The 13,318-nt window shown below is 38.0% G+C and overlaps 1 protein-coding gene across 13 annotated transcripts in view; it reads left to right on the forward strand.

Moving 5' to 3' along the window:
* The window catches only part of ARHGAP15 (Rho GTPase activating protein 15), a 638,934-nt gene that overhangs the window by 400,802 nt on the left and 224,814 nt on the right, over window positions 1-13,318 (forward strand). Inside the window, exon 10 of one of the 13 annotated variants that reach the window (XM_047445114.1) lies at window positions 3,033-6,124. The exons of 11 other annotated variants lie outside the window; for them this stretch is intronic. In XM_047445114.1, coding sequence (XP_047301070.1) covers window positions 3,033-3,133 — 101 coding nt within the window. In that variant the 3' untranslated portion in view covers window positions 3,134-6,124. Of the gene's footprint in view, window positions 1-3,032; window positions 6,125-13,318 lie in introns of those variants that run through there. One more of the 13 variants, XM_047445112.1, reaches the window with a different exon arrangement.

The raw sequence follows: 13,318 nt of genomic DNA on the forward strand, positions 1-13,318 counted from the left end.
GGGTTTTGTTTTTTGTTTGTTTTGTTGTTGTTGTTGTTGTTTTTCCAGGGGGCATGATATATATGTAGACCAGTATGACATACCATATTTGTAATAATCTTGAATAGGATAGGACGGAAATAGGGCAATGACCTTTGTGTCCAATACAGGTTTCAGACAAAACATACTTTCTCATTTTTAATAGGGAGAAACCAGTCTCTCAACAAATAATGTTAAATTGTTTCATAAAACTGAGGGATTCGACTAACTAAAGCCAAATTTGATGCTTTTGAGACCGACCAGTGTCATAAGAATAGCACTATCCACTTTCTGGTTCAAAATATTATGCTCTTTTTTATATAAACCTTCAGGCATTGTGCCTACTTCCTTGTAAGTTTGTGTATAATTTTTCCCATTATCACCCCCTAGGTAATCTTTCACCATCACCACTTTCCAGGCATCTACCATCCACTGAATAGCCATGTTTCTGATTATCTTCTCCCAAATGTATCAGCTTGCATTATTTAAAGCTGAATCTCATTTTATTATTTCCTGCTCGTATTTCTAAACTCCTTAAGTCCATTTGTATGATTCTTTTGTCCTCACAGATGTCCACAGTTCCTCCCAATTTAGTATCATCAGCAAATTTAATTAATGCTCTGTTTACCTCTCCTTCTAATGAAACCAGTCCCTTGTTTCATTTCATGATACAAAGTAAAAAATGTATTGGCAATAAAACAGTCCAAAGAAATGTTTCCTCACTGTAGGAGGGGAAGTTAAGGATACAGCAAAGAACAATGTGGTGAGGAGTGGACAGTGCAGCAGGGTGGTGAGTTAGTTTGCTATTGCCCTGAAGCAAAACCTTTTTCACAGAGACTACACTTTGGCATATTGCCTGGGTTGATGCTGTGTGTGTATGTGTGTGCGCGCATGTGTGTGTTCTGTTCTGGAAGGTAGCTTTAATATCCTAACTGAGGACATTTTACCAAAGATGTATTTATGAATATATGAAAAGCATATTGAAAACTATAAATATAAATGTAATTATAGCTTTATATACATTAGTATTTATAGTTTTAAATACAATAAAAGGTAAGCTAGTAATGTCTGATTCATGGTGTAGTTACAAATCTAGATATGGATGCATACATCTGGATATATACAGACATTCAATCATTTTCAGTGGGCTTTTTCTAGCATTCACTGTGATGTAAATTTATCTCTGTCCTTAACTTGATTAGTGTTTTAAATCCAAATTAACCCTTGGATTTGAATCAAATTCTTTGTAAATAGCAGGTTTATAGGGTAAGAAAAAAGAACTTTTTTTCAGTTGTATCCAACATGCAAACTTCAATCAAAGAATATTTTAACCTCTACAATTAATAGGCTAGAAAATTGAGCTTGATCAGAGTAAAAGGCCTAACCTGCTAACTTGAAGGTAAGCCAGCATATGTTCTAAAAGTTACACTATAACTCTTTGAAGGTGTGGATATACAGATATTGTGTCATTTACATGAGGAAAACAAAGATGACATTTATTAAGCACTCATAATGTTAGTGCTTTCCAGCATACATACCAATACTGTGGAATAAAATTGTACATTAATTACTACCTGATACTTCATAGTCTGTATTCTTAACTCCAGCAAAATCTCATAAACGTTTGTCAAGTTTCATATTAAGAGTCAGTCTTCAGAATGTGGATGGATTAGTATAAATCCAGTGACTTTACTGGGAAAAAAAGTACTTTCAAGTTTATGCTTTGAATGGACAGACAGATGTTAAGATCAAGATCTCTATTGTTGTATACAGGAGACAATGCATGTTCACAATGCTGAAATGAAGGCTGATATGTACTTTCCATACAGGACAAGGTCACCAAAGATGGCATCACCAAGGGATGGTGTTAACAAAACAGTGACTGGGAATATTGTTAGGTGGTTACAGCCTCACATTGCTTTTCTAGTGAGAAAAATATCTGATGCATAATGCATCCTTATGAGAGAATTTTCTCAGATGCCAAGATTTTACAGGCATAACTTCCATAAGCTTTAATGGGAATTTCCTGCCAGCACCTGTTACAGTATAGAGTTCTTACTTTTCACACATAATCCAAGACTGACTTGGAACACTGACTTGGAAAAACTAATATAGTGAAAGCTTCTTGTAATGTTTCCTCACATATAATGTTCATCTTTTAATCTTTGGTCTGATGATATATGTATGTCCATGTTTTCCATTCAAATTCTTTTCCCACCAGTAAGGTTTCTTTTCACAAGTTTTTTTATGGATGAGAGCAGAAAAAGCAATTCTTCTTACTAGGTAAACTAGTGGAAATGATACATAAAGGGGAAAGTTATTAGGATAGCAAGTGACTTAATGCTAGAAATCAACTATTCTTGACTTAAAGTAGTTTTATAGATATACTGTAGACTCCTGAGCAGCCAACAATTAGAGTACCGCATGCAAAAACAACTGTCAGGGACTCCACAGCAAAATCACAGGTCAAAATAATATAGTTTGACCATATTTTCTCATATATTTATAGACTAGAATATGGTAACTTTTAATATTTAAAAAGATATTGTGTAGATATACCAAAGGATCTATTTTAATATTTCAAAAGATATTGCATAGATATACCAAATGGGCAATGCATTGGGTAGAGGAGAAAGTTAAAAGTTTTAAATTTCATACATTTCTAATTAATTCCCCAAACTTCCGTTACCAAAAAACTCAAACAAAAACAGGTCACAGTGCTCCTGCTTAACTAGAATTATTGGAGATTGTACAGAACGACTATTTTATGAACAACAACTTCACTTTTAACTTTTTCACTTTCTTGAAGTTTCTTCTTGTCTAGAGTTTCTAACACACAATGACACATTAGAATGAAAACAGACATTTATACTCAAATTCCTGAATCATTTCTGATCACTACCCTGAGTGACAGGATGATGAGCAGGGGGAATGCTTTTCACTTGTTGAATGTTGAAAGACAGTAAATTTTTAGTTCATTTTTATGACAAGATTTTTTTAACAAATGTTGGCAGGTAACATGATTAACGTTGGAAGAACTCTGAAACCCCGAAAACAAGAGAAGACGTGTGAACCTGTTCATTTAATTTCTCACGGGGCAAAATACGGGAACTGAAGGAGAACAGTGCATTCGCATCCTTCCTTCTCTTTCTTTGGTGTGTGATTACATTACTCCATGATGTCACCTTGAGCCCCTGTCTGACCTCTGATACTCTCCTTCTGGCACACCTGCCTCAGAAATATCATTTATACTCCAGCTTGATGTTCAGACACCCTTATTCACACTTTTGAGTATTACCTTGAGCTTAACTGTTTTAAAAGGTATCAATAATTTGTCTCCTATTAGAGTATGTTCAAGCACCAGGAAAGAGGATTTTGTTTTGTTTCATTTGATAAGGCAAAGAAAGGGAAAAGGGAGTCTCACTGACACTTCTAAAAGCATGCTGTGTTTCCAAGCTTGGTACCCTCCTCCTCTCAAGGGGTTTTGACTGTAGCACACTTTGCTCTTAGTGGAAATAAGGTTATTACTTTCTTTTGATACTCTGGCCAGTGAATTAATAGAAATGCATTTGTTTCTGATGTAATTGCCTTTATTAAGGTTTATTTTAAAACTTAAGAGCAGATTGGAAATCTAAGACCTCGTTAAGTCTGCCATAGTTCAAAGCCATGCATTACCAGCTGAGGCCAATAAGCCTTAGGTTGTTACTGGGGAAGACTTAAGACTTGTGGCATTGTTTGTGTATACATCACTGGCTCCATCTGACACCTCTCATCTCTCCAGTGAGCCTGATGGAGTTAGGCTTTGTATCCCCACCCACATCTCTTCTTGAATTGTAATCTCCATAATCCCCACATGTCAATCGAGAGACGAGGTGGAAGTAATTGAATCCTGGGGCTGGTTCCTCCATGCTGTTCTCATAATAGTGAGTGAGTTCTCACGAGATCTGATGGCTTTATAAGGGGCTCTTCCTCCCTCACTGGCACTTCTTTCTTCCACCTTGAGAAGAAGGTGCCTTGCTTCCCCTTCGCCTTCCACCCTTACTGTAAGTCTTCCGAGGCCTCTCCAGCCATGCTGAACTGTGAGTCAATTAAACCTCTTTCCTTTATAAATTACCGAGTCATAGGCAGTTCGTTATAGCAGTATGAGCATGGGCTAATACAGACCCAGTGATGTATACACAGACAACGCCACATACAGTAAAACTGCAGGAGAGTGATACGGTGAGAGAAGTACCTGTATTCTCTGCAGTCCTTACCCAGAGAAGAGACAGGCCTGGCTCAGAGATCTGATGATTTCATGGGAGAATGCCATGAAATATTCACGACATTTCAATCTATAGAAAAAAAGACCTATATGGGGCCAGGAAAAGTGGCTCATGCCTACAATCCCAGCACTTTGGGAGGCTGAGGTGGGCAGATCTCTTGAGCTGAGGAGTTCGAGATCAACCTGGGCAACATGGCAAAACACTGTCTGTACAAAAAATACCAAAAAAAATAGCCAGGCGTGGTGGTGTGTGCCTGCAGTCGCCAGCTACTTGAGAGCCTGAGGTGGGAGGACCTGAGCCTGGAGAGGTTGAGGCTGCTGTGAGCTGTGATCATACCACTGCACTCTAGCCTGAGTGATAGACTGAGAACCTGTCTCAAAAAAAAAATAAAAAACAAAACAAAAAAACCTATATGAATTTAGGAACCTCAGTTTAGAGCATTGTACTCACCTGAAAGAAAAATTATTTTATAAGTTTTCCCTGAAGATGTTATTTTTTACAATTTCCATATTTCTAATTTCCTTATGATAGAAAATTACTATAAGAATAAATTATGTTAAAATAAATTGTGATTAATCAAGCTTAAAAATGTGCCCCTTCTCCCCCAAATTTCTAAGTACAGTAATATACTTCTTTTTTTCTGTGTCTTGGTGTGTCCAAAATAGCAGGTAACCCAGGAAGGGAGAAACTTTGGATAATAGCAACCACTCTTTTGAATTCATTTGAAGCCAACATGTTGTACCCATTTTCCCTTTCTGTTCCTCTCCCATTATGTACTTGCCCCCTTATTCTCCATCTTTTTCTCTCCCACATCCTACACAAGTAAACTCATTGTACTTGTTTTCTTTTCAGTTAAAGTCTGCTCCCAGTAAAGGATTTAATAAATTAATCCACATACTAAAGCGTATATGACCAGTGAGGTTTGATGTGAAATCCTCCAATAGGATTTCAAGAAAAAAGGACGAATTCTAATTGCAGAATTTTAGGCATAAGCAAGGCTGTGTGAAAGAAATATTTTAAGAAAGAATTATCTTCCCAGATTTTCTGAAAATAAACTGCAAAAGTAGCCTCTATAATTAATATTAACTTACGTTGGGAACCAATGGCATAAAATCCAAGTCTTCAAATTGATAATCTTTCATTTCTATCTCTCATGGCACTTCAAGATTTAGCTATACTGCCTGATTATGGATTTCCTAACATTCAAACTCAATGGAGTTTCTAACATCAAAACTCAAACTCTGCCATCCCCTGGAGGAAACAGGGAAATTAAGACATCCTTTATTTACATTTCATACAAGAGAAAACATGAGATACATTTATAATTGATATCTTGCCACTTTAGAAAGTCACATATATGGAGTTAGATATTTCATAAATGTTGTATCAATGAACATCAGCATATATAAAACGTCTTAGTTTTTTTTAAATTTGTGGATAATGTATGTTTTTTTCACATACAACATGAAGTTTTAAAGTATATAGATATTGTGTAATAGTTAAATCTATGTAATTAACAAATTACCTCACATAGTTATCATAGATGAGAGCACTTAACATTCACTCTCATTACATTTTTCAGGAATATATGTCATCATTAACTGTAGTCGTCTTGCTATCCAATAGATCCCTTGAAATTTATTCCTTCTAGCTAATTATAATTATGTATCCTTTGACCAACATTTTCTCATTCCTACCGTCCGCCTAATCATACCAGCCTCTAGTAGCCACCATTCCATTCTCTTCTTCTATGAGGTCAACCTTTTTGAATTCCACATGTGAGTGAGATCATGCAATACGTATTTTTCTGTTCCTGGTTTATTTCACTTAGCATAACGTCCTCCATGTTCATTCATGTTGTCACAAAAGCAGGATTTTTTTTTTTATTATTTAAGTTTTAGGGTACATGTGCACAACGTGCAGGTTTGTTACATATGTGTACATGTGCCATGTTGGGGTGCTGCACCCATTAACTCATCATTTAGCATTAGGTATATCTCCTAATGCTATCCCTCCCCCCTCCCCCCACCCCACAACCGTCCCCGGTGTGTGATGTTCCCCTTCCTGTGTCCATGTGTTCTCACTGTTCAATTCCCACCTATGAACGAGAACATGCGGTGTTTGGTTTTTTGTCCTTGCAATAGTTTGCTGAGAATGATGGTTTCCACCTTCATCCATGTCCCTACAAAGAACATGAACTCATCATTTTTTATGGCTGCATAGTATTCCATGGTGTATATGTGCCACATTTTCTTAATCCAGTCTATCATTGTTGGACATTTGGGTTGGTTCCAAGTCTTTGCTATTGTGAATAGTGCCGCAATAAACATACGTGTGCATGTGTCTTTATAGCAGCATGATTTATAATCCTTTGGGTATATACCCAGTAATGAGATGGCTGGGTCAAATGGTATTTCTAGTTCCAGATCCCTGAGGAATCACCACACCGACTTCCACAATGGTTGAACTAGTTTACAGTCCCACCAACAGTGTAAAAGTGTTCCTATTTCTCCACATCCTCTCCAGCACCTGTTGTTTCCTGACTTTTTAATGATTGCCATTCTAACTGGTGTGAGATGGTATCTCATTGTGGTTTTGATTTGCATTTCTCTGATGGCTGGCCAGTGATGATGAGCATTTTTTCATGTGTTTTTTGGCTGCATAAATGTCTTCTTTTGAGAAGTGTCTGTTCATATCCTTTGCCCACTTTTTGACGAGGTTGTTTGTTTTTTTCTTGTAAATTTCTTTGAGTTCATTGTAGATTCTGGATATTAGCCCTTTGTCAGATGAGTAAGTTGCAAAAATTTTCTCCCATTCTGTAGGTTGCCTGTTCACTCTGATGGTGGTTTCTTTTGCTGTGCGGAAGCTCTTTAGTTTAATTAGATCCCATTTGTCAATTTTGGCTTTTGTTGCCATTGCTTTTGGTGTTTTAGACATGAAGTCCTTGCCCATGCTTATGTCTTGAATGGTATTGCCTAGGTTTTCTTCTAGAGTTTTTATGGTTTTAGATCTAACATGTAAGTCTTTAATACATCTTGAATTAATTTTTGTATAAAGTGTAAGGAGGGGATCCAGTTTCAGCTTCCTACATATGGCTAGCCAGTTTTCCCAGCACCATTTATTAAATAGGGAATCCTTTCCCCATTGCTTGTTTTTGTCAGGTTTGTCAAAGATCAGATGGCTGTAGATATGCAGCATTATTTCTGAGGGCTCTGTTCTGTTCCATTGATCTATATCTCTGTTTTGGTGCCAGTACCATGCTGTTTTGGTTACTGTAGCCTTGTAGTGTAGTTTGAAGTCAGGTAGCATGATGTCTCCAGCTTTGTTCTTTTGGCTTAGGATTGACTTGGCAATGCGGGCTCTTTTTTGGTTCCATATGAACTTTAAAGCAGTTTTTTCCAATTCTGTGAAGAAAGTCATTGGTAGCTTGATGGGGATGGCATTGAATCTATAAATTACCTTGGGCAGTATGGCCATTTTCACGATATTGATTCTTCCTACCCATGAGCATAGAATATTCTTCCATTTGTTTGTATCCTCTTTTATTTCCTTGAGCAGTAGTTTGTAGTTCTCCTTGAAGAGGTCCTTCACATCCCTTGTAAGTTGGATTCCTAGGTATTTTATTCTCTTTGAAGCAATTGTGAATGGGAGTTCACTCATGATTTGGCTCTCTGTTTGTCTGTTATTGCTGTATAGGAATGCTTGTGATTTTTGCACATTGATTTTGTATCCTGAGACTTTGCTGAAGTTGCTTATCAGCTTAAGGAGATTTTGGGCTGAGACAATGGGGTTTTCTAGATATACAATCATGTCATCTGCAAACAGAGACAATTTGACTTCCTCTTTTCTTAATTAAATGCCCTTTATTTCCTTCTCCTGCCTGATTACCCTGGCCAGAACTTCCAACACTATGTTGAATAGGAGTGGTGAGAGAGGGCATCCCTGTCTTGTGCCAGTTTTCAAAGGGAATGCTTCCAGTTTTTGTCCACTCAGTATGATATTGGCTGTGGGTCTGTGATAGATAGCTCTTATTATTTTGAGATATGTCCCATCAATACCTAATTTATTGAGAGTTTTTAGCATGAAGGGTTGTTGAATTTTGTCAAAGGCCTTTTCTGCATCTATTGAGATAATCATGTGGTTTTTGTCTTTGATTCTCTGTTTATGCTGGATTACGTTTATTGATTTTCATATGTTGAACCAGCCTTGCATCCCAGGGATGAAGCCCACTTGATCATGGTGAATAAGCTTTTTGATGTGCTGCTGGATTCGGTTTGCCAGTATTTTATTGAGGATTTTTGCACCAATGTTCATCAAGGATATTGGTCTAAAATTCTCTTTTTTTGTTGTGTCTCTGCCAGGCTTTGGTATCAGGACGATGCTGGTCTCATAAAATGAGTTAGGGAGGATTCCCTCTTTTTCTCTTGATTGGTATAGTTTCAGAAGGAATGGTACCAGTTCCTCCTTGTACCTCTGGTAGAATTCGGCTGTGAATCCATCTGGTCCTGGATTTTTTTGGTTGGTAAGCTATTAATTATTGCCTCAATTTCAGAGCCTGTTATTGGTCTATTCAGAGATTCAACTTCTTCCTGGTTTAGTCTTGGGAGGGTGTATGTGTTGAGGAACTTATCCACTTCTTCTAGATTTTCTAGTTTATTTGTGTAGAGGTATTTATAGCATTCTCTGATGGTAGTTTGTGTTTCTGTTGGATTGGTAGTGATATCCCCTTTGTCATTTTTTATTGCGTCTATTTGATTCTTCTCTCTTTTCTTCTTTATTAGTCTTGCTAGCGGTCTATCAGTTTTGTTGATCTTTTCAAAAAACCAGCTCCTGGATTCATTGATTTTTTGAAGGGTTTTTTGTGTCTCTATTTCCTTCAGTTCTGCTCTGATCTTAGTTATTTCTTGCCTTCTGCTAGCTTTTGGATGTGTTTGCTCTTGCTTCTCTAGTTCTTTTAATTGTGATGTTAGGGTGTCAATTTTAGATCTTTCCTGCTTTCTCTTGTGGGCATTTAGTGCTGTAAATTTCCCCCTACGCACTGCTTTGAATGTGTCCCAGAGATTCTGGTATGTTGTGTCTTTGTTCTCGTTGGTTTCAAAGAACATCTTTATTTCTGCCTTCATTTCATTAGGTACCCAGTAGTCATTCAGGAGCAGGTTGTTCAGTTTCCATGTAGTTGAGCAGTTTTGAGTGAGTTTCTTAATCCTGAGTTCTAGTTTGATTGCACTGTGGTCTGAGAGACAGTTTGTTATAATTTCTGTTCTTTCACATTTGCTGAGGAGTGCTTTACTTCCAACTATGTGGTCAATTTTGGAATAGGAGTGGTGTGGTGCTGAAAAGAATGTATATTCTGTTGACTTGTGGTGGAGGGTTCTGTAGATGTCTATTAGGTCTGCTTGGTGCAGAGCTGAGTTCAATTCCTGGATATCCTTGTTTACTTTCTGTCTCGTTGATCTGTCTAATGTTGACAGTGGGGTGTTAAAATCTCCCATTATTATTGTGTGGGAGTCTGAGTCTCTTTGTAGGTCACTAAGGACTTGCTTTATGAATCTGGATGCTCCTGTATTGGGTGCATATATATTTAGGATAGTTAGTTCTTCTTGTTGAATTGATCCCTTTACCATTATGTAATGGCCTTCTTTGTCTCTTTTGATCTTTGTTGGTTTAAAGTCTGTTTTGTCAGAGACTAGGATTGCAACCCCTGCCTTTTTTTGTTTTCCATTTGCTTGGTAGATCTTCCTCCGTCCCTTTATTTTGAGCCTATATGTGTGTCTGCACGTGATGGGTTTCCTGAATACAGCACTATGATGGGTCTTGACTCTTTATCCAATTTGCCAGTCTGTGCCTTTTAACTGGAGCGTTTAGCCCATTTACATTTAAGGTTAGTATTGTTATGTGTGAATTTGATCCTGTCATTATGTTAGCTGGTTATTTTGCTTGTTAGTTGATGCAGTTTCTTCCTAGCCTTGATGGTCTTTACAATTTGGCCTGTTTTTTGCAGTGGGTGGTACCGGTTGTTTCTTTCCATGTTTAGTGCTTCCTTCAGGAGCTCCTTTAAGGCAGGCCTGGTGGTGACAAAATCTCTCAGCATTTGCTTGTCTGTAAAGTATTTTATTTCTCCTTCCCTTATGAAGCTTAGTTTGGCTGGATATGAAATTCTGGGTTGAAAATTCTTTTCTTTAAGAATGTTGAGTATTGGCCCCCACTCTCTTCTGGCTTGTAGAGTTTCTGCTGGGAGATCAGCTGTTAGTCTGATGGGCTTCCCTTTGTGGTTAACCTGACCTTTCTCTCTGGCTGCCCTTAACATTTTTTCCTTCATTTCAACTTTGGTGAATCTGACAATTATGTGTCTTGGCGTTGCTCTTCCCAAGGAGAATCTTTGTGGCATTCTCTGTATTTCTTGAATTTGAATGTTGGCCTGCCTTGCTAGATTGGGGAAGTTCTCCTGGATAATATCCTGCAGAGTGTTTTCCAACTTGGTTCCATTTTCCCGCTCACTTTCAGGTACACCTATCAAATGTAGGTTTGGTCTTTTCACATAGACCCATATTTCTTGGAGGCTTTGTTCGTTTCTTTTTATTCTTTTTTCTCTAAACTTGTCTTCATGCTTCATTTCATTTATTTCATCTTCCATCGCTGATACCCTTTCTGCCAGTTGATCGCATCGGTTACTGAGGCTTGTGTATTCATCATGTAGTTCTTGTGCCATGGTTTTCAGCTCCATCAGGTCCTTTAAGGACTTCTCTGCATTGGTTATTCTAGTTATCCATTCGTCTAATTTTTTTTCAAAGTTTTTAACCTCTTTGCCATTGGTTCGAACTTCCTCCTTTAGCTCAGAGTAATTTGATCTTCTGAAGCCTTCTTCTCTCAACTCGTCAAAGTCATTCTCCATCCAGCTTTGTTCTGTTGCTGGTGAGGAGCTGCGTTCCTTTGGAGGAGGAGAGGAGCTCTGATTTTTAGAGTTTCCGGTTTTTCAGCTCTGTTTTTTCCCCATCTTTGTGGTTTTATCTACCTTTGGTCTTTGATGGTGGTGACATACAGATGGGTTTTTGGTGTGGATGTCCTTTCTCTTTGTTAGTTTTCCTTCTAACAGTCAGGACCCTCAGTTGCAGGTCTGTTGGAGTTTACTGGAGGTCCACTCCAGACCCTGTTTGCCTGGGTATCAGCAGTGGTGGCTGCAGAACAGCGGATATTGGTGAACCGCAAATGCTGCTGCCTGATCGTTCCTCTGGAAGTTTTGTCTCAGAGGAGTACCCGGCCGTGTGAGGTGTTAGTCTGCCCCTACTGGGGGATGCCTCCCAGCTAGGCTACTCAGCAGTCAGGGACCCACTTGAGGAGGCAGTCTGCCCGTTCTCAGATCTCAAGCTGTTTGCTGGGCGAACCACTACTCTCTTCACAGCTGTCAGACAGGGACCTTTAAGTCTGCAGAGGTTATTGCTGTCTTTTGTTTGTCTGTGCCCTGCCCCCAGAGGTGGAGCCTACAGAGGCAGGCAGGCCTCCTTGAGCTGTGGTGGGCTCCACCCAGTTCGAGGTTCCTGGCTGCTTTGCTTACCTACTCAAGCCTGAGCAATTGCGGGCACCCCTCCCCCAGCCTCGCTGCCGCCTTGCAGTTTGATCTCAGAATGCCATGCTAGCAATGAGCGAGGCTTCGTGGGCGTAGGACCCTCCGAGCTAGGTGTGGGATATAATCTGCTGGTGTGTCGTTTGTTAAGCCCATTGGAAGAGCACAGTATCGGGGTGGGAGTGACCCGATTTCCCAGGTGCCATCTGTCACCCCTTTCTTTGACTAGGAAAGGGAATTCCCTGACCCCTTGCACTTCCCGGGTGAGGCGATGCCTCGCCCTGCTTCGGCTCATGCACGGTGCACTGCACCCACTCTCCTGCAACCACTGTCCGGCACTCCCCAGTGAGATGAACCTGGTAACTCAGTTGGAAATGCAGAAATCACCCATCTTCTGCGTCACTCACACTGGTAGCTGTAGACTGGAGCTGTTCCTATTCGGCCATCTTGGCTCTACCCCAAAAGCAGGATTTTTTAATGGCTGAATAGTATTCCATTTGTGTGTGTGTGTGCACATATATATCATATATGTGTATATGTGTGTGTGCATATATATCATATATATATGATTTAAAATATATATATGATATATATTATATATATGATATATATGATATGATATATAGTATCACATATATAATATATATGATATATATAATATCACATATATAATATATATATGATATATATAATATCACATATATAATATATATATGATATATATAATATCACATATATAGTATATATATGATATATATAATATCACATATATAGTATATATGATATATATAATATCACATATATAGTATATATATGATATAATGTATATCATATATAATAACATATGATATATATAATATCACATTTTATCATTCAACCATTGATGGACACTTAGGTTAATTCCATATCTTGGTTATTGTAAATATTGCTGTAATAAAATAAGAATGCAGATATCTTTTTGATATACTGATTTTATTTCCTTTGGATATATACCCAGTGGTGGGATTGCTGGATCATATGGTATTTCTATTTTTAATTGTTTGAGGAATCTCTATATTTTTTCCCATAATTGTTGTACTAATTTGCATTCCCACCAATAATATAAAAGGGTTTCCTTTTCTTCACATCCTTGCCAACACTTGTTATCTTTTGTCTTTTTAATAATAGCCATTCTATCAGAGGTAAGGTGATATCTCATTATTGTTTTAATTTGCATGTATCTGATGATTAGTGATGTTGAGCATTTTCCCATTTACCTATTGGCCATTTGTATGTCTTTTTTTGAGAAGTATCTTTTTAGTTTTTTGCTCATTTTTAACTTGGGCTCAGGTTGTTTTTTGGTTGTTTGGTATTGAGTTGTTTGAGTACCTTATACATTCTGATGTTAACATCCTGTCAAATGTATATTTTGAAAATAATTTCTCCCATTCTATAGGTTGCCACTCCACTCTGTTGATTGTTTCCTTTGCTGTGC

Source organism: Homo sapiens, chromosome 2 (genome assembly GCF_000001405.40).
Source record: "Homo sapiens chromosome 2, GRCh38.p14 Primary Assembly".
Lineage (NCBI taxonomy): Eukaryota > Metazoa > Chordata > Mammalia > Primates > Hominidae > Homo > Homo sapiens.